General features: G+C 46.7%; 1 protein-coding gene and 1 pseudogene across 15 annotated transcripts in view, besides 4 other annotated features; one reads left to right on the top strand and one right to left on the bottom strand.

Annotated features, from left to right (window-relative positions):
- Positions 1–14514, top strand: part of ABHD2 (abhydrolase domain containing 2, acylglycerol lipase) — a 161358-nt gene extending 146844 nt beyond the window's left edge. For 14 of the 15 annotated variants that reach the window (NM_001416423.1, NM_001416424.1, NM_007011.8 and 11 more), the window contains 4 exons: positions 352–462; positions 3239–3308; positions 5394–5478; positions 7386–14514. In NM_001416423.1, coding sequence (NP_001403352.1) covers positions 352–462; positions 3239–3308; positions 5394–5478; positions 7386–7582 — 463 coding nt within the window. In that variant the 3' untranslated portion in view covers positions 7583–14514. Of the gene's footprint in view, positions 1–351; positions 463–3238; positions 3309–5393; positions 6310–7385 lie in introns of those variants that run through there. The other variant, NM_001416421.1, reaches the window with a different exon arrangement.
- Positions 7030–7530: an enhancer, noted in NCBI's record as "H3K4me1 hESC enhancer chr15:89738102-89738602 (GRCh37/hg19 assembly coordinates)". NCBI's record gives its function as "activates a minimal SCP1, AML or CMV promoter by ChIP-STARR-seq in naive H9 embryonic stem cells {active_cell/tissue: H9 hESC(naive)}" and the evidence as "EXISTENCE:reporter gene assay evidence [ECO:0000049][PMID:30033119]".
- Positions 7531–8031: an enhancer, noted in NCBI's record as "H3K4me1 hESC enhancer chr15:89738603-89739103 (GRCh37/hg19 assembly coordinates)". NCBI's record gives its function as "activates a minimal SCP1, AML or CMV promoter by ChIP-STARR-seq in naive H9 embryonic stem cells {active_cell/tissue: H9 hESC(naive)}" and the evidence as "EXISTENCE:reporter gene assay evidence [ECO:0000049][PMID:30033119]".
- Positions 9797–10091: a silencer, noted in NCBI's record as "tiled region #8523; K562 Repressive non-DNase unmatched - State 17:Gen3'". NCBI's record gives its function as "represses a minimal TATA promoter and a strong SV40 promoter by Sharpr-MPRA in K562 cells {active_cell/tissue: K562}" and the evidence as "EXISTENCE:reporter gene assay evidence [ECO:0000049][PMID:27701403]".
- On the bottom strand, positions 10999–13972 carry LOC124903574 (vesicle-associated membrane protein-associated protein A-like; annotated as a pseudogene).
- Positions 19391–19460: an enhancer, noted in NCBI's record as "active region_10044". NCBI's record gives its function as "activates an Ori minimal core promoter by ATAC-STARR-seq in GM12878 lymphoblastoid cells {active_cell/tissue: GM12878}" and the evidence as "EXISTENCE:reporter gene assay evidence [ECO:0000049][PMID:35858748]".

A 20611-nucleotide genomic window follows, 5' to 3' on the forward strand; every position in this document is an offset into this window, starting at 1 on the left:
GGGGGACATTGTCAACACAGTGTAAGGACGACGCCCCTACGGCTTGGCCCATGGCCCACCACTCACCACAAGGCCCGTCTTGAGCCCCCCTCCCCTGTGCTGAAGGTTTTTTAATATTCAACTAGGTTCAAACCCAATCTTTAGTTTGTCTGGGTACCCCTGAAAAGGGAAATAAGGTTTTGACATTAACAGCGCCAGCTCATCCTCTGGGACATTCCAAAGGCTAAAGGTTCTATTTCTAACTGACCACGTTGGCTCTCCCTCCTGGCTTGCTGTGGCAAGGAAGCAGGCTATGCCATGGTTGTTCATCCTCCACATCTTAATCTCTGTTTGCTTTTGTGTTTGCTCTAGGCAAGCTCTTTTTGGAGACCATGTTAAGAAACCCCAGAGCCTGGAAGACACGGACTTGAGCCGGCTCTACACAGCAACATCCCTGATGCAGATTGATGACAATGTGATGAGGTGTGTCCGCGCAGGCGGGAGAGGGACGCTCTGGGGCAGGGTGCCAGGCAGGAGGCTGCAGGTCAGCTGTGCCCAGCACTAGTGTTTGCTCTGCCTACTTGAGTGTTAAGGGTGTTTTTTTCCCTTTAAGTAAGTGTCTAGTGCTTAAAAACAGAAGATTTCACAGGAACATTTAAATTTCTAGTTTCTCCTGGAAAATAGGAAAAGGATCCGACCACTCATTCTGCATTCCTACAAAGCATAGTTAGCTTGATTCAAGGAGCTGGGGCGTGCAGGCCCTAGCATGGGCAGTCTTCACCCTACCTGTCCTGCCTCAACACCAGGGCAAGTGTCAGGTGCCACATAAATCTGCATTTCGCAGTGGAGTAAAAGGCAAAAGAAATACTTCTTGTACTTCTCTGTGTCTCTAACAAGAGTAGAAAAACTGGCTGGGGGCAGTGTCTCATGCCTGTAATCCTAGGAGGATTTGGGAGGTCATGGGGGAAAGATCGCTTGAGCCCAGGAGGTTGAAGCTGCAGTGAGCCATGTTCATGCCATTGCACTCCAGCCAGGGTGACACAGCAAGACCCTTCTCAAAATTAAAAAAAAAAAAAAAGAAGTAGAAAAACAGAAGATAGACCAAGAGGACTATGTGTTTCAAGCAAAATGGACAGAGCCTCTTACTTTGGGGCATGGTGACTCCACTCTGAGTGTGAGACACAAATACTGCCCACTTCATTCATCTACTCTTTATCTGCCTCTCTCCTCCAGGCACCTGAGGTTGCAGCCTTGACAGTGGCCTCTTTCCTGGTTCCAGTAGTTTCTGATTGAGGTTAGCCTCAGCTGAAAAAGGAAAAGTTGACCTCTGATCTCATCATTCTCTTTAAATACGTGATCCTTTTCATTTAACAATCATTTGAGGCCAGGAACAGTGGCTCATGCCTGTAATTCCAGCACTTGGGGAGGCTGAGGCTGGAGGATCACATGAGGCAAGGAGTTTGAGACCAGCCTGGGCAACATAGCAAGTCCCTGTCTCTACAAAAAAAAATTGAAAAATAAAAATAGCCGGGCATAGTGGCACACACCTGTAGTCCCAGCTGCTTAGGAGGCTGAGACAGGAGGATCACTTGAGCTCATAAGTTTGAGATTACAGTGAGCTATGGTCCCAACACTGCACTGGAGCCCAGCCTGGGCAACAGAGCAAGGCCCTGTCCCTAAAATATAAAAAATAAATTATTTGATATTTTTAGATGTAGCTTAAAGCAAGCAATTATTCTTCATCTAATAGATAGGCAGATATTGACCTAAGGGTATAGGATCTCTGCTTTGCTTCCTTATGAGATTTTAGTAGCCTTCTTACACCAAGTAACGTTGAAATATGCCTGCTAACAGTTTCTCAAAGGAAATGAAAACTAGGAAATTGCTGGTATGTTCAGAAGGTGAAAAATGAATCTTACCCACCCTCACTTCAGATGAAGTGTGTGACTGTATTGCGGTGTGTGGTAAGAAAAAACAAATTAAATTTCCCATTCATCTCCTAAATTTTTTAAGCCCAGAAGAGAATGTTTCTCAACACTCTCTAAAGTCTTTCCTCTTTAATAGCGTTGGAAAATAGCAGTTTTATGATCATAACCAGTCTTGGTGGCTTCCTCAGAGATCCATCCCAGTAATACTGGAGGGATGGAACAATGCATTTCCTGCCTGCTGAGACTGCAAACGAACTGATTTCACAAGGACAGGCATCTTAGAGATGATCTCTACACTTGGCCTCCACCCTGTCAAGAGGGCCCTACTAGTCCAGCCTGAGCTTTCCAGGCCATTCCCAGGCAGAGATGTCTAATGAGATCCACAGCTTTGGGGGAGGAAGGATAGCTTAAAGACCCTAGTCAAAACAGGAAGACCCACCATTCAGAAGCCAGAGGCCCTAATCTGTGTCAGAAAGAGGTTTTGAGATCTTCTGGCCTAGGCCTCCTGGTGTCGGAGCTCCAGATTGAACCTTGAGGGGCCTCTGGGAGCACGGAGCAGAGCAGAGCAGAGCTGCGGCCCCTCATTCATGCTGAGCACTGAAGGTTTTGTTACATGCCAGTTTATCTCTATTGCTCTGTAGTCAGAGATCGGAGCAGTAGTCAGAGATAAAGGGACAGAATTGGTAACTTTGAATGACGGTCTCATTTCTGTTACCTAATACATATTTTATTCCAATTCACGGTGGTCCTGTTACTCCACTAAGAACTCTGTTAAAAGGAAAGTTCCAGTAAATGTCCTTGAATTTCAGTTTCTCCATATCTATAGTGACATCTGGTTTTATACTGCCACAAGAGATGTAACATACACTAATAATTACTATAGATAACAATTACTACAGGGTAATTACTCTGGGTCGGTCATGATGCTAGTAAGCACTTGAACATCATAAGTCTCACAGTTCCATTGAGGAAGGCCCTGTCTTCAGATTCATTTTATACAGGAGAAGCTGAGGCTCAGATAAGTTGAACCATTTGCCCAAGGTCACATAGCCAGTAAATAACCGAAGCAGGATTTGAACCCCAATGCCAAAGCCAGTGCTCTTAACCCTGAACCTTGCTACCTGCATACATTTCATTGATATGATGAGTTAGTGCAGGATCTGGAACAGTCATAAAATCAGCTCAGCATTCAGGCCTAGCTCCTGCCTCTGTCTACTCTACCAATGCCACAAGTTAGCGTGAGGAACTGGAGCCATCGTCGGCTCAGCATTCTGATCTTAAAGACCAATGTTTTGTCCTTTTTCTTTTTTTCTTTTTCTGGTGTGTTGCAGGAAGTTTCACGGCTATAACTCCCTGAAGGAATACTATGAGGAAGAAAGTTGCATGCGGTACCTGCACAGGGTGAGTGGCCATCACGGGCTCAGAATCAGCATCACTCCACCCAGCCTCGCACACAATACGACAGATACCTCTCCTGAATTTTCCTGGTGGAAGCTCAGCTGGAATCTGGCTCCAACCGCTCTTTTAGCTTGGATTTGTTTATTGAACCAGGCTCTGTCCCTCTGTAACTGCCATACATTAATCCCAGAGCTGCCCCTTAGACTGGTGTGCTCCCATGTCTGTGTGAGGGCCTTTAAAAGTGCTCCAACACCCACTTTTTTCTTAGTCTTCCTTTGACAGTATAATCCTGTCTGGTTTCTGCCAGATCAGTGAGATCTGTCTAGATTTCTTACCATCCGGGACCCTCTTTTGGCCATTCTGTATTTTGTTACCATAGTGCCTAAGACTGAACTCAAAATTCCTGCCATGATCTGGTAAGCACAGAGTAAAACTGATGTGTTTCTGTATCAAAGTAATGATGAGCATGTCTATTTTTTTCTTTTTTTTTTTTTTTTTTGAGATGGAGTCTCGCTCTGTCGCCCAGGCTGGAGTGCAGTGGCGCAATCTCTGCTCACTGCAATCTCCACCTTCCCAGGTTCAAGCAATTCTCCTGCCTCAGCCTCCTGAGTAGCTGGGATTACAGGCATGTGCCACCACGCCTGGCTAATTTTTGTATTTTTAGTAGAGATGGGGTTTCACCATGTTGGTCAGGCTGGTCTCCAACTCCTCACCTCGTGATCTGCCTGCCTCAGCCTCCCAAAATGCTGGGATTACAGGCGTGAGACACCATGCCCAGCTGAGATGTCTGTTGATAAGGTAGACTTGTTTGTATTAATGCAACTTTTAGCAGCTACAATAAACTTTGTGTGATTAAGTTTGTGGCCAACCAAAATCTCCATATGTTTGTTTTACCTGAATGACCAACAAGCCAGTCCCTCTCATTCTGTCTTTGCACAATTTATTGCCCTATTTATCCAAACACAGGACTTCCCATTTATCCTTGTCAATGTCCACCTGTAGGTTTGGCCCATCATTCCCCTGGCTAAAGCAGATCACTGGAAACTGTAGTTGTGCTGTCTTATCAGCCATCTCTCCTAGTTTAGCATCATCAGGCTTTTTGATGTCGTCATTTAAGCCATTGTAGGAATGTTGAGCTGTCTAGAGCCAACATCAGAGACCTACAGGATACCACAATCATTCACTGCCTCATTATGGCTGTTCAGTGACATCTGAGTCTCCCTATCAGTACCATCTCCACTAAAATGAAAAAGAAGGCTATTGGCTGTTTTAGTAAAGTGGATGTTGAATGCAACCCTGCCAACGGTTTTCCAATATCCACCAGCCTATTCCTGTTTTCAACCTTCAGATTCTTTTTCTTTTCTTTTTTTTTTTTTTTAAAGAGACAGGGTCTTGCTCTGTTTCCCAGGCTAGAGTGCGGTGGCATGATCATAGTTCACCACAGCTCTGAAATCCTGGCCTCAAGTGATCCTCCTGCCTCAGCTTCCTGAGTAGCTAGAACTATAGGCATAAGCCATAAGCCTGACCTAGATTCTTTTGATTTGTTCTATTTTTGTTTTTGTGTTTGTTTTAACAAATAGAGACTGGGCTGTGGGTCTCACTATGTTTCCCAGGCTGGTCTCAAACTTGTGGGCTCAAGCAGTCCTCCCACCTTGGCCTCCCAAAGTGCTGGGATTACAGGCACGAACCACTGTGCCCAGCCTTGGCCTAGATTCCTGTAGAATCTCTTTTGTCTGGTATGGAGTGCACTTCATTTTCCGCTCCCATGATATAAACTGAATGAATATGTACATAATTCATTGCAAAGTCATTTCCTAAAAGGAGTGGCTAATCTGAAACACTCTGATGATTATCAGGAAGCTTTCTTCTACACACTCCTGCTTTCAGGGCAGTAATCACAATGGCAGATGTAACTCATCACACTGCCAGAGAATACAAGGCGTCCTTCCTGTACCTGTTCAGCAAGCTGAGCTGTGACCCTCTTCCCTTTGCTTCAAAAACATGTCCAGCAGTGAGTTTGAGCCTTGAATCGATGGGGTCTGAAAATGGGAATCAGTAGTTTAATTCTGCTTTATGTTCTTGTTGCAGATTTATGTTCCTCTCATGCTGGTTAATGCAGCTGACGATCCGTTGGTGCATGAAAGTCTTCTAACCATTCCAAAATCTCTTTCAGGTAAGTGTTTCTTCCTGCTGCCCTCTCAACAGCTCAGCAAGTTGCCACAGTAAATTCTGTCACCTTCACCATGCTGTCATCTCCTGGAGACCACCCTCTTTAGGGAAAGACATCTCATAGCAGTCAGTGTTCTTATTCTGTGTAGCCTGATAGTCCTCGGGCTGTGATGGGGCTTGGGCATCAGGCCTCCCTCGTGTTCCTCCCAGGGCATGAGACAGGACCACCATGTATATCCATAGCCAGTAGGGCTTTGGGGAGTCACTTGAGGTTCTATGAGATTATCTCAGGGTTAGGGTTCCCCTAAGTTTGAAAGTTTGACATAAAGAGATATTTAGATTTAAAATTCGAGACTAGGTGTGTTGGCTCACACCTGTAATCCTAGCACTTTGTGAGGCTGCAATGGGAGGATCGCTTGAGGCCAGGAGTTCAACAGGAGCCTGGGCAATATAGTAAGACCCTATCTCTACAAAAAACTTAAAAATTAGCTGGGCATGGGGAGGCTGAGGCAGGAGAATGGCGTGAACCCGGGAGGCGGAGCTTGCAGTGAGCCGAGATCACGCCACTGCACTCCAGCCTGGGTGACAGAGTGAGACTCCGTCTCAAAAAAAAAAAAAAAAAAGAATTAGCTGGGCATGGTGGCACATACCTGTAGTCCTAGCTACTCAGGAGGCTGAGGCAGGAAGATCACTTGAGTCCAGAAGTTCGAGGCTGCAGCAAGCTATGATTGTGCCACTGCACTCCAGCCTGGGCAACAGAGCAAGATTCTGTCTCTAAAAATAAATAAATAGTAAAAAATAAAATAAAATTTGACTTGAAAAGCAAAACAAAAAATCCGGTTCTGCTATCTCTTGTGACAGCCTCTCCATCTGCTTGAAACATACAAATAGAAGCAACTGGGCCAAGTGTGGTGGCTCATGCCTATAAATCCCAGCACTTTGGGAGGCCGAGGTAGGCAGATCACTTGAGGTCAGGAGTTTGAGATCAGCCTGGCCAACATGGTGAAACCCCATCTCTACTAAAAATACAAAAATTAGCCAGGCGTGGTGGTACATGCTACTGGAGAGGCTGAGGCATGAGAATCGCTTGAACCCGAGAGTGGAGGTTGCAGTGAGCTGAGACTCTGTCCCAAAAAAATAAAAAATAAAGTCAAGCTCTAGGTTATTATTTCTCAGGATGGCCACTTAGCATGTGGCGTTGAGAGCTTGGGCATCTTTTAACACAACGTGCAGCTTTAAGGATCTTGAAGATAAATGTCTGTAGTGAAAACTCATTGACTCCATTGAATTCTCCTCGTTCTCTAGTAAAAATACTGTAAATGCCATGAATCGCTACTCAGAGCCTGGCCCCCACCACTACCATGGGCATCACCTGGGAACTTTTTAAAAATGCAGAATCTCAGCTCCCACTTCAGGCTTATTAAATCAAAATCCGCATTTTAATAAGATATCCTAAGTGATTTTGATGCACAAAGTTAGGAAACACATTGAATCACCTGGGGAGCTTGAGCAATACCAACACTTGGGAATTCCCTTCCCTCACTCCTCTCCCACCTCCCACCCCCAGAGATTCTGATTTAATTCATCTGGGCCAGCCTGGGGTTAAGGAGCTTTAAGAACTCCACAACTGATTCTAATATGCAGCCGAGTTTGAGAACCCTTTAGAGTTCTAAGGCTTTCTTCAGCTGGTGCCCATTCAGCTCCAAAGCCAAGCTGTACTCTAAAACCTGCTAGATGCCACTGTCTTGCCTGCCCCCTCTTTGGTGAACAAGGCAGAGTGAGTAGAGGTTGGATGCCCACTTAGGTGACCCTGCGGGGACAGCCAGGCTACCCTAGCCAGCTCACCTCTGCACCTCCTGTCCTGGAGCAAACTAGAGAACAGTAACTCACTCAGCTGCGTTTCCCCTGCAGAGAAACGAGAGAACGTCATGTTTGTGCTGCCTCTGCATGGGGGCCACTTGGGCTTCTTTGAGGGCTCTGTGCTGTTCCCCGAGCCCCTGACATGGATGGATAAGCTGGTGGTGGAGTACGCCAACGCCATTTGCCAATGGGAGCGTAACAAGTTGCAGTGCTCTGACACGGAGCAGGTGGAGGCCGACCTGGAGTGAGGCCTCCGGACTCTGGCACGCTCCAGCAGCCCTCCTCTGGAAGCTGCGTCCCCTCACCCCCTGTTTCAGGTCTCCCATCTCCCTCAGTGACCTGGATCTGACCTCACACCATCAGCAGGGGGCACCCACCATGCACACCTGTCTCGGAGTAGGCAGCTCTTCCTGGGAGCTCCAGGCTATTTTTGTGCTTAGTTACTGGTTTTCTCCATTGCATTGTTAGGCATGGTGACAAGTGACAGAGTTCTTGCCCTCTGTCCAGTTTCAGCATCTGGTTGCTTTTAAGCCAAGTACATCTAGTTTCCCTATTAAAAATGTGTCTGAATAGCGATTTTGCTTTGCCACCAAAAGGCTTTTCCCTGAGAACAGTGAAGGATGTATGTCATTTTGTGGTGGTTGTATGTGTCCTTACATAGACCTTAAAAAGAGCTCACCCTTCCAGGCCAATGCTGAAGACACAGCTCCGCTTGGGAGCCTGAGAACCCAGGCTTCCCAGGCCAGAGTGTGGCTTCTTAAACGGCAAAGGAAATTCCTTTGAGTCACAAGCCAAGTTTTCGCCCTGTCTCCTGAGACCATTTCCCTACGCTTTGCTGCTGCTGAGAGTTACGTGAGGCACTTGTTAAAAATTCAGCCTCCCAGGTCCCTCCCCTCGGAGAGGCTGATTCACTGGGTCTGGGAAGGAGCCTGGGGATTTTAATTTTTCACAAGTGCCCCAGATGATTCTCATCACCAAGCAAATTTTGGAAATGCTGTTCAACAGCGCCCTTAAATTGGAAACATCTTTGCAGCTCGTTTTATTGAAATTCATAATCAGGGGTGTCCTCTAGCTCCCACGGTCTCCAGAGCAGCAAGGCCGGCTATGGAGCTGCCGTCGTGTGACCACAGTGTGATGTCTCAGAAGGGCTCTGGGTGGGCTGAGCATCTGGGCTGTGCCCTGGCTCTGCTTTTCACCCTGGACAAAGTCGCTGTGGACTTCAATTTCTTCACCTCTAAAATGGGGGACTTGGACCAGGTAGATTGCTGAGCTCACTACCAGGTTCAAAGTTCAATGACAAACTCAGTTTACTGAGGTTTGAGAGAACATCCCTCCAGGGGAGCCTGGGAGCTGCTCTCCCAGTCTAAGCATGTAGATATCATCGTTTGCCTTTTGTGTGTGTGTGTCCCTTATTTGATAAAAAGATGTTTTGAGTTGTTTTTTTTTTAAGCACTCACTTGTAATTTTAGTTTTTAAACCCAAGTCCCTCTAACTTTGCCTTTGATACCAAACAATTCAAAAGTTGGATCTGAGTTTGGAGAAAGATATTTCCAACCTAAGTGGGTATTATTTTGAAACCAGATTTTTAATTTAATAGCCTATATTTGTAGTCTGTTGGATAGGTGTTTCCAAAGTGTGTCTTCTCAAGTGAAAACGCAACTCTAGGTTTCAAGTACTCCTTTTCTCCGATCCTGTGGTACTTGAATATCCAAAAACCCTGCACTTTGAACAATCAGCTGTTGCTATCTGGAACTAAACAGAACTATGAGTAAAATTGCCTGGATACTTTAAAAAGATATTTTTCCTCCTTCATCTCCTTTGACTCCAGGACAGACTGGAATATAAGTAGTGGGTCTGCATGGATGTTTCAGGGATCAAAGGAGCCACCTGGGCGCCTGAGTGCCAACCCTCAGGGCCACAGGTGGGTGTGGTTTGGGCACGGGTCCAAGTGACTGTGACGGGACCCGTGGGCATGGGTCCAGGTCTGTAACCTGAAGAAGTTGTTTTCTGACAATCACCAAATCATCCGAATGACATCAAAAGCAGCCCTTATCTCAGAGACTGAGATTTCTGTGGTCTCAACTTCGCTTTGGTATAATTTCTGGCACTCACCAGCCTCTATCATTATGACTTTCCCCCCAGTGTATTATTTCTCTAATAGGTTTCCTTTTCACGTTCTTTTAGCACAGACTGGCACTTTACCCTCTCAGTTTGGAAGTTAGCCCCTCTCCTCTGTTACTTTTCCCTTCACCCAACTACAGCTGTGATCTAGAACATTCATAGTCATATTTCTGCTACTACTACCTTCATTTATCAAGACTTTTTATGAGAATAGGTAAACCAAGCAATAACTTCCTAGGACTGAATCACCACCCCAGAAGAGCGAGAGGCTCCTTTCATATGCCTGAGGCCACACCCCTTAACCTGTTCTGACAAAATAGTGGCTGGCCCATGTACCAGCTCCATTCAGAAATTCAGGAAGAGAAAAGACAGCCCTGTTGTCACACAAACCGGTGTGGGGGAGGGTGGAGCCTGGTCTGCACGGCAGTCCTGGTGGCCCCTGTGGAGGACAGGCAGGGCTGGCAGCATAGCCTTTGTTGCCACACAACCGGAATTTGCTCCCCCAGGACTGTGGGAGCCAGTGTCCCAGCTGAAATCTTTTTAGTGTGTGGCTCTGAATGGCACTCACATTCCATTTTGGCTCACATGAAACTAACTGAAGCCCTTTGTTCAAGCTTCAGGCTCTTAGGCATGGAAATGAGAATGTGACTGTGGCTGTCTTACAGGAAAATTCTTGTTTGTCCCTGAATGAGAGCACAGAGGCATTGAATTCACAGAGCTGCAAACTTGCCTGATAAATGAGGGAGTGGCAGTTTATAGATAGGTCATCTTTTTTCCTTCCTCCAGGTGTCCTTGCCTTTCTTCCCAAAGTCATTCATTTCTGATGAGTATATGAATCCCCCTCTTGCTAGTAAGGTTCTATTTGGGCTAAAACAAGGCTGAATTTTTAAAGAGTATTTGAATATATTTTAGAATCAAATTGAGGCTATAAATTGCATCAATCTGGACAATTCCATTGCAGGAATAATATGTTAAAAACCAATGGGGAGAAGCACCCACATCTCTCCTGTAGCACTCCGTGTCTCATAAGCAATTTGAAGACACTTACAAGTAACTGATTCCAGTCAAATTAGGATTAACTGACTCAAAAAATGGTGTCAAGTTTCTTTAATGTTTTTATGTTAGAAGTGAGTTTAACAGACTTGAAGAAAACTGTTATCTTTTCCTGCTGTGAGTTTACACAAATGATTCCAGAGCAGAATGAAAGCAGAAAGCTGTTGGTTACAATATTCTTTTAACCTCTCTGCAGCATTTTACACTTACTGGGAACCTTATGATTCACCGTAAGAGTGGAAATATACCTGAGTTCGTGTCCTAATGGTCTCTAATTCACATTGGATCGTGGGCAAATCACCTCACCTCTCTGAGCCTGTTCCCTCCTCTTAGACCATCTCTAAGACCACTTCATCTATTTACACATCATTTGCTTGAACATTGCTGAACATCTGCGTGAACTTGGCCTCTCCAGCCCTTGCAGGTGGAAACAGCTGTGTCAAGGCTCAAGGCTCACGCTGAGGGGACTTGGAGGGAGGGGGCTTCTGCATTAAGCTTTCCTGGTGAAGACCCTTGATCTTGTCCAAAGCCCTGTGTCTTTGACTGGCTTCTCTTCAGAGTCCCCGTTGTCATCGTAAGACCCTTGCTGTTTGGAGGGTGGTCTTGTGACTGTGGCAGCTGCTGGCCGCTGGAATGAGGAGCCTATCTCCATCCTCCAGTGTGACTCAGGCAGAGCATTGAGAATTCCCAGGGCAGAAATCCTTCCTGCTCAGGCTTTCATTCTAAAACTACAGTCTTCATTAAAGCTGAACTTTCTGGGTAGCTGAGCTTATATGCCCGGCATCTGAATGAGAGCTCTCTTTGTAACTGTGTGACTTGAGATCTAGTTTGCCAGCTCCTGGGAAACAATACATGTGTTCTTGTTTGTGTTTGCTCAGCAAGCAGATGTCTGAGATGTAAGAAGCTTTTCTTTTCCTGTGGCATTGATTCTGACTTAGAGCTGAAGTAAAAGATCACTGAAACATCACGTCAAGTTGAAGTCACTCATAGGTCTTTGTCCTTTAGGCAGGACAGGAGAGTCATTAAGAAGCATTTCACTGTAGCATTCTATCACAATATCATCTGGAATTGTTTTCTTTGCCCAGAAAGCCTTAACTTGCCTCTAGAGAATCCCTGGTATTACAACGATATTGCGGCATTAGAATTCCAACTCTTCTGCTGTGGAAGTTTGAAGCGAAGCTGCAGCAAAACCAGAGAATTTCCTCAAGTGGCCTGTAGGCTCCTTGTTATCTTATGCCCCCACCCCTCCCTCAACAATATGAGTGATCCAGAACTGGCCCAAACACCTCAGCTCTGGTCCCTTTTTGCCCTTCTTGGCCTTACTCTGTTGTTCAAAGCCACTTTGGATTGCTTGGATGCTTCGAACAGCCATGAAAAGTAGCCTGCCTGTGGCATTTAGAGGCCAAGCAATTGACAGAAAGGGTTTCTTCTACCTCTGTTATCTAAGCAGAGGGAAGTAAACCTCTCACCGCCCCCCACCCCTCACTGCCCCCGATTACCCTAGAATTGCTTTCGCCAAATTGTAGTTGAAGCTAAGGAAGGGGAATCTGGCCCCTGCTGGGAGAGGGAACTGGAATGCCACACAAGGCAAGGCCTGCTTCCTTCCTTCCCCTCTGCTGCTGCTGCCTCGGAACGCTGCAGCCCAGGCTTCCTCCCACAGTGGCCCTTGGAAGCAGGCCGCAGAGTAGACAGCTGCTCCTTTTGGAAGAGTCAGTCCCCTGTGTTTTCTGAACTGTTTTTCCTAGCATGTATGTGGGTAGAGCTTTCATGCATCTCTAGTAATAATAAGCTGAAATTAGTTTTTTTTTTAATTCTCCAATTTAAAACTTTTAATTAAAAAGTAAATTTTAATGTCGAAAATGCAAACTTGGGGAGGGCAGAAAGATCACACACAAGGCTGTCACTTCATACTTGCAGGATTGCACAGCAGCCGGGCAGAGGCGCTCCTCACTTCCCAGATGGGGCGGCGGGCAGCAGAGACGCACCTCACTTCCTAGACAGTGCGGCAGCCAGGCACAGGCACACCTCACTTCCCAGACAGTTGGGCGGCCAGGCAAGCGCTCCTCACTTCCCAGATGGGGCGGCTCCCGGGAAGCGGGGCTCCTCACTTCCCAGACAGGGTGGCCAGGCAGAGGTGCTCCTCACTTCCCAGAACAATTCTTTATGAATTTGATAAAGGACTGAAGTGCAACTGAAAGCTGCTAGTGATGATCTGGTAATATACAATTTGTCCAGTAGCCAGTTTGTTTTTATTGTGTTTTCTAACCATAAGAGATCATTAAAGGCAAAGCCTGTATGACGCTGTACACACACAAAAAAATGGTCACCGCAGGCCATACTACCAATGAAATGGTAGGTAAACAAATCTTCTGGTCAAGAGAAAAAAAAAAGAAATAGCACTCTGCATGCTTTGCTCTACAAGACGAATTTCCCTAGAAAGAATCCAATGAAGGCCGGGCATAGTGGCTCACTCCTGTAATCCCAGCACTTTGGAGGCCGAGGCGGGTAGATCACCTGAGGTTAGGAGTTCAAGACCAGCCTGGCCAACATGGTGAAACCCCTTCTCTACTAAAAATGCAAAAATTAGCTGGGTGTGGTGGCGGGCGCCTGTAATCCCAGCTACTCGGGAGGCTGAGGTGGGAGAATTGCTTGAACCCAGGAGACGGAGGTTGCAGTGAGCCGAGATCACGCCTCTGCACTCCAGCCTGGGCAACAAGAGTGAGACTCCGTCTCCAAAAAAAGAAAAGGAATCCAGTGAAAATGGCTGCAATTACAACAAGAAGTGAAGGAAGAAGACTGGTGACATCTCTGAAGGATGCAGTTGAGGTTGATCCAGGTTTATCCGAATATGCTACCTTTCTGAGCCTTAAACCTTCATCTCTCAGGTGTTGATTTGCTTCTGATAGCTTCATCATTTCTCCCTGAAGTCTTTTACACTCTTCTGTTAGTTTCCTTGTTTCAGTATCATGAAGTGAAGCACTGTGTGGTTGTGGCGTGGGCCCGTCTTGCTTAGATGCATTCAGTGGGACAGCTTTGCTGGGTTCCATGTCATTCAATTTATCATTTTCATTGGGGATCTCCATTTGGAATCCATTAATTCATGAGGTTTTGCCTCATTCCACACAGCTTCCATATCTGAAGTGTTTAGTGGAGCAAAAATTGTACCATAAACTTGTGTTTACTCTTTTCATTCGGATCATAGTCAAAGGGCTGTAGCATTACTGAAACAGTCACAGTTGACCCTGGGTCAATAATTCCACTGTTGGGCCTCACACAGTACCGGTGAGGCACGGTAGTCTTCACTTTGAAACACACTTTTCTATCCGATGGATTTCGCAATTTAAGATTTGTAGTGACTACATCTGTGAAGGGGCCTTTGAATTTGAGGTCTATGGGCGGGTCGAGGACCAGGATCTGCTCGTGCTTCGCCGTGGCCCCGGAGGCAGACGCCATTGGAGAGACAGCGCAGAGCAGGGGGCGGCTTGCTCGCTGGGGGCGGGGGACGATGGCGAGAGGGGAGGGGGAGCGAGTTCGCATCTCTCCTTTTCCTGGTTAGACTCTGTTCAACCACATTCTTATGTTGGCAGATCTGCTTCCAGATTGATTTTTAGAGCACCATCACTTTCACATTCCTGATTCTGATTTTGTTTTGTTTTGTTTGGGTTTTCTGAAACTTAAAATGCTGCCCCGAAAATACTATATTTTTGAGTTTGTGTTCTGAAAGCCTCCGTGCTGCTGGATCTTTGGGGGGAAATACAGGATCCTTCAGCACTGAGGTGTTTAAGATTTGCAACTAGCAATGCAATTTTTTCTAAATATGGGGATATTTACCTTTATTAAGAAATTATACTAAACATTGATGTCCTTGATCATTTTATGTTCTCATATTACTTTTGATTCTACTATGATTGTGTGGTGGTGAACAAAGATCATTACAAACAAAAACTGTAATTTTGTTATATTTGATTCAATGGAATTTACCTAAAAAATAAAGACTAAAAATGTGGTGTGGCTATGTGTCCTTTGTATAGTGCCAGTTTTCCATCTGAAAGGATTCTTCCTGTGTCTTCACCAAAGTATGAGATTAATGGAAATACACAAAACCCCATTTTTGCACCACAATTGATGTTAGTCCATCCTTGCAAACAAATACCAAAACCTTGACCAGGCCACAAGTGTCTTCACAACCCCATCTTCTCCGGGCAAGAAAGCCAAGAACTAAAATAAGTGAAGTATCTCTTTTCTACTTTTTTAATTTTTTAGAGAGAGGTTCTTGCTCTGTGGCCCAGGCTGGAGTGCAGTGGCATGATCACAGCTCACTGCAGCCTTGACCTCTTGGGCTCAAGCAGTCCTCCTGCCTCAGCCTACCGAGTAGCTGGGACTACAGGGACTTGCCACTGCACCTGGCTAATTGTTTAGTTTTTAGTTTTTTGCTATGTTGCCCAGGCTGGTCTCAAACTTGAGTTCAAGTAGTCCTCCTGCCTTGGCCTACCAAAGTGTTGGGATTACAGTTGTAAGCCACCATGCCCAGCCTCAGTGTTTTAATCACTTCTTAAAGTGGATCATGAAGACAAAATACAAGGCAAGGTGTAAATGGTGCTTGCCGTGTGTGATTTGTATGCTTTTCCAATAATGTTCTTTGAAAAGAACAGGTGAGGCCGGGTGTGGTGCCTCACGCCTGTAATCCCAGCACTTTGGGAGGCCGAGGCGGGTGGATCACCTGAGGTCGGGAGTTCGAGACCAGCCTGACCAACATGGAGAAACCCTCTCTCTACTAAAAATACAAAATTAGCTGAGCGTGGTGGCGCATACCTGTAATCCCAGCTACTCAGTAGGCTGAGGCGGGAGAATCACTTGAACCCTGGAGGTGGTGGTTGTGGTGAGCCGAGATCACGCCACTGTACTCCAGCCTGGGCACAAGAGTGAAACTTCATCTCAAAAAAAAAAAAAAAAGACTAAGTGAACATTTCCTAAGTCAAGATTATATTGGGTTGGTTGGGTGCTGGTGGTGTTTTCTTCTTTGAATCTGTCTGAACCCAAGCTAAGGGTCTCCCAGGACCAAGCACTGGCTCAGCCAGGAGGGTTCTACCACCCCCAAGAGACACACAGCTCCCTTCCCTCCTTGGCCACACAAAACCTTCGTCAAGTTAGGCAGGGTGGGGAGTGTTAGCTTTAGAAGTTGTGCATTAACAAAACCTAAAAATGCCTAGTGGCAAATTTCAAAATTCTTCCCTCTCTGGTCAGCAAGCTTTCCCTCGATTCATATCCCCCACAATATAGCCAGACTATTTTGGCCCAAGAAAACCAACTTGCAAAGAATACTACCTATGAAAAGACTACATGGAAGAGATTTCAGGTCCAGGGCATTGGGGAGGTCAGTGCCAGCTGCATGCCAATGTGGTCAGGCAGGACCAGTAGCACACATAGCTGCCCTCTCCTGAGGCAGCCATACAGCATTTGTGTTCAGTGACACCTCACTCACTGCCCCAGTCATGCTACTTTTTATTTTACCTTTCATTAACTGGCCTCTCTGCTCTAGTCCTATAGGGAGTACTTTCCCTTGGTGAGGATCAAACACCTTACTGGATGGCCCTTCATATGACAGCCTCCCCTCCTCACTTCTCTCTTGGGTGTCTTTAGAGGGAGTTACATGAAAGTGCTACCATATATCAGAGTGGTTGAAAGACATGACGGGCAATTTGGCCTCGAACTGGTGAACCCCTCCCCAAAGGGGATAAAATTAAATACCTCTCTCCATGTGGCTTTGTGTCACCCACACCTTCCTTTTGAGTCATGCTATCTACCACATTTACCCCAGCATCTCTGCTGAAGACTGGTTTCCTCTTAAAGTCATTTCCTCCTCATCTGATGATAGTTGGTGAAATTAACCTGAAATATATGAAATTCTCATTTCATTGTTTCTTCTCCCTTCTGCCTGCACCTCTCCCATCCCCAGAAATAAGTGAAACAAACACTGGAGACAAAGCACGAGTAACAACAGAGCCAGAGAGATTTGGAGCCAGAGTTGCTGGGTCAGGGTCCCATCCTCGCCATTTCTAGCTCTTTGATCCTAAGCAGGATTTAACCTCGGATTGTTATTTATTTATTTATTTATTTATTTATTTAATTTACCTATGGGAATAATTATACTAAGAATGCCTACCTCAGGATAATTGAGAGGTTCAGATGATATTTTTCAGAGTGCTGATGTTACTTTGGACAGTGGTTTGGCTTGATCTGTTTTGTTCCCACTCATACATCATCTCCAAGGTAGAAACTACAAGCAAAGTGTCTGACATGGTCCAGCTCCACATCAAAGCGTCTAACTGATGGGCTGCGAGGAAAGCAGAGCCCGTCCTGGTTATAGTTTCCAAAAACATTCCTGGGCTCAGAAGTGCTGACGAGCCACGTTGTGTGCACCATCAAACTCTAATCCTTGTCTTTTCCTTCATATGTGGGCACCTTGAGAAATCAAGGTGTATACATGTCCTGCCTACTGGCAAGGCGACTTCCGGGCACAGCCCCACAGTGGAACTTGCTTATTCTGGGACATTTAGCCTGTCAGCTGCAGTCTTCCCACAGGGCTCCTGCAGCCTTCTTCTCTGTTCTCTGCTCACATGCAAGGTTTGCCTTTAAACCCACAGATATGAATACTTACTAGAGTGGGGGTTCCTCCATATCCTCACCTCCATATGTCAACATACAGGGTTTAAAGCAGTGCACATTTGAGCCACCTGCTGGGAGGTAGACAACCACGGTTTTGTAAGCATTGATTGCCTTCTCTCTCTCTCTCTCTCTCTCTCTCTCTCTCTCTCTCTCTCTCTCTCTCTCCTCTCTGACAGGGTCTCACTCTGTTGCCCATTATTAATAGGAGAGCAGTAGTGTGATCATGGCTCAGGCAGCCTCGAACTCCCAGACTCGAGATCCTCCTGCCTCAGCCTCTTTAGTAGCTAAAACTACACTGCATTTGGCTGATTTTTCCTTTTTTTTTTTTTTTTTTGTAGAAACAGGGTCTTGCTGTGTTGCCCAGGCTGGTATTGAACTCCTGGCCTTAAGCAATCCTCCCGCCTCAGCCTCCCAAAGTGCTGGGATTACAGGTGTGAGCTGCTGTGCCTGGCCTGATTGGTTGTTTAATGTGCAATCCTCTGGGGGTCTTGTTAAAAATGCAGATTCTGATGCAGCATGTCTGAGATGTGGCTCCCATGGGGAGCTCCAAGGTCCAGCCCTCCTTGGACCGCCCTTTGAGTAGTGAGGCTCCAGGAGATCCCACAAGCTTCCAGATTTGACAATTCTGAGCTTCCTCAACTCCAGAGCCAAACCCCTAACCGAAAGTGGGATCAGAGGCCAGGCATGGTGGCTCATGCCTGTAATTCCAGCACTTTGGGAGGCCGAGGTGGGAAGATCACCTAAGGTCAGGAGTTCGAGACCAGCCTGGCCAACATAGTGAAGCCCTGTCTCTACTAAAAATACAAAAATTGGCCGAGTGTGGTGGCATGCACCTGTAATCCGAGCTACTCGGGAGGCTGAGGCAGGAGAATCGCTTGAAGCTGGGAGGCAGAGGTTGCAGTGAGCCGAGATCACACCACTGCACTCCAGCCTGGGTGACAGAGTGAGACTCTGTCTCAAAAAAAGAGAAGAAAAAGAAAAAAAAAAAAGGGGGGGGGGGATCAGCAGTAGTCCACTTCACCTCTTTTCCTGCTAGCTTGAGTTAAGAGAAAGGTATACCTCTTCTAGTAAGGCTTTGCCAGGCCCCCAGGCAGCACTAACCTCCTCCACTTTCCCCTGGGTAAACCCGAGGCAGTGGCCAATCTCATTGAGAGGCTCTCTGAAGCTGGTGCCCGCTTCCTTCCTGAGACCTCCACCCACAGCTTGATGAATTGCCTCCAGACTCTGCTGTCTCCATTCTCCCAACGTCCACATTAGCATGGCAGAAATGCACTGCTGCAACCTTCCAACCCTCAAATTACTTTGATGAGGCAGAATCCCTGCCTTATCCCAGATGTCCCCAGAAAGTGTCGGGTGCGGTGGCGCATGCCTGTAATCCCAGCACTTCGGGAGGCCAAGGCGGGAGGCTAACCTAAGGTCAGGAGTTCAAGACCAGCCTGACCAATGCGGAGAAACCCTGTCTCTACTAAAAATACAAAATTATCTGGGCGTGGTGGCGCATGCCTGTAATCCCAGCTACTCAGGAGGCTGAGGCAGGAGTATCGCTTGAACTCGGGAAGTGCAGGTTGCGGTAAACTGAGATCTCACCATTGCACTCCAGCCTGGGCAACAAAAGCGAAACTCCGTCTCAAAAAAAAAAAAAAAAAAAAAAACAAACAAACAAACAAACAAAAAAAAAAATCAGATATCCCCAGAAAGGAAGTTGTTATGGGCACCAAATGGTTGTCATAAAATTCACGTTTTGTTGTCCCCCTTCCCATAGCTGGTGGCCTTCAAAAGAGTATTTTATTGTCTCTCTCCAATAATGTGGGGGCCATTTGTAGGAATCACACACACAGGCAGCTGGGATTTTGTGAAGCTGAGCACGTCAGATTTTAACATTGGTAGTCTTCAGACACGTTTTCCCAAAAGCGGCACCACCTTCTCAGGCAAGGTCTGGCCCAGCCCACCCAGCTAACCCTCCTGCCCAGCTTGTCCCTGGAGGGGCAGTGTCAGGGCACGGCCAGCAGGGGGCGGCGCGAGCACACATTCAGAGCCGGCTCGCGGGATTCCCAACCCCTATGGCTTCTTCCTCAGAAAGCCACTTGGTTTTCTTATCAGACGGGGTCCCTGGGCTAAGGCCCCAGCCCTGCTGACCTTAGGGACGACCCCAGCATCCCATTCGGGTTTGAGTAGGAGCTAGGGCTGCCCCAAGAGTCTTCTGCTCAGCATGTGCCTGATTTCATTTATATATTTAGAGCTGCCACAAATTCAGAGTGGACCTGGACTGTGTCCAGGAGGGCACCTGGCAGCTCGGGGCTCCGGGGAAGATGGGAGTCAGTGGATAGGGATCAACCAGTGTTTCCCTCAGATTTAGGACCCAGGTCTTAAGGAAAAATTAGAAGTATATCATGAAAACGTAAAAGATACCCATTCTTTTTTTCTTTCTTTTTTGAGACGGAGTCTCTCTCTGTCACCCAGGCTGGAGTGCAGTGGTGCGATCTCGGCTCACTGCAACCTCCGCCTCTCGGGTGCAAGCAGTTCTCCTGCCTCAGCCTCCCGAGTAGCTGGGATTACAGGTCCCTGCCACCATGCCTGGCTAATTTTTGTATTTTTAGTAGAGATGGGGTTTCACCATGTTGGCCAAGCTGGTCTCAAATCCTGACCTCAAGTGATCTGCCCACCTCAGCCTCCCAAAGTGCTGGGATTACAGGCATGAGTCACTGCGCCTGGCCAAAAATACCCATTCCTTTTAATTATTTAACTCAGCCTCATCACCACCCCCTTCCATCAACACCTCCACGCAGGTCACCAGTGCCCTCCACCTTGGCAAACACTAGTCTCTATTCCTTTCTCACATGACCCCAAAGCACCATTGACAGTTCTCGTACTTGAAATACCTTCTTAGCTCCAGATGTTCATAAGCGATCTCTCAGGGTGAGGCCCCTTCTACCAGAGCAGCTTCATTCTTTTTAGGTTGGTGTTGTGTTTTGTTTTGTTGATACAGGGTCTCCCTCTGTTGTCCAGGCTGGGGTGCAGTGGCACAACCATGGCTAACTGCAGCCTCGACCTCCTGGGCTCAGGTGATCCTCCCACCTCAGCCTCCTGAGTAGTGGGGACTACAGGCGTGCACCACCATGCCCAACTAATTTGTGTATTTTTTGTAGAGGTGGGTTTCACCATGTTGCCCAGGTTGGTCTCAAACTCCCACGTTCAAGCAATCCTCCTGCCTCGGCCTCCCAAAGTGCTGAGATTATAGGCATGAGCCACATGCCTGCCCTTTTTAGGTTTAAATACCAAGGTTCCATGTGAGATTTCATTTGCAAAAATGAAGCCTCAACTTTTGGGACAAAATCCTCACTGGTTGATCTCCTACCCTTCTGCCCATAATAATTTGCTGTGATTCCTCCTCCAGCCTAGGAGTCCTATGTAAATACCATTTTTGTTTTCATGGATTT

The sequence above is a fragment of the Homo sapiens genome, chromosome 15 (genome assembly GCF_000001405.40).
Source record: "Homo sapiens chromosome 15, GRCh38.p14 Primary Assembly".
NCBI lineage: Eukaryota > Metazoa > Chordata > Mammalia > Primates > Hominidae > Homo > Homo sapiens.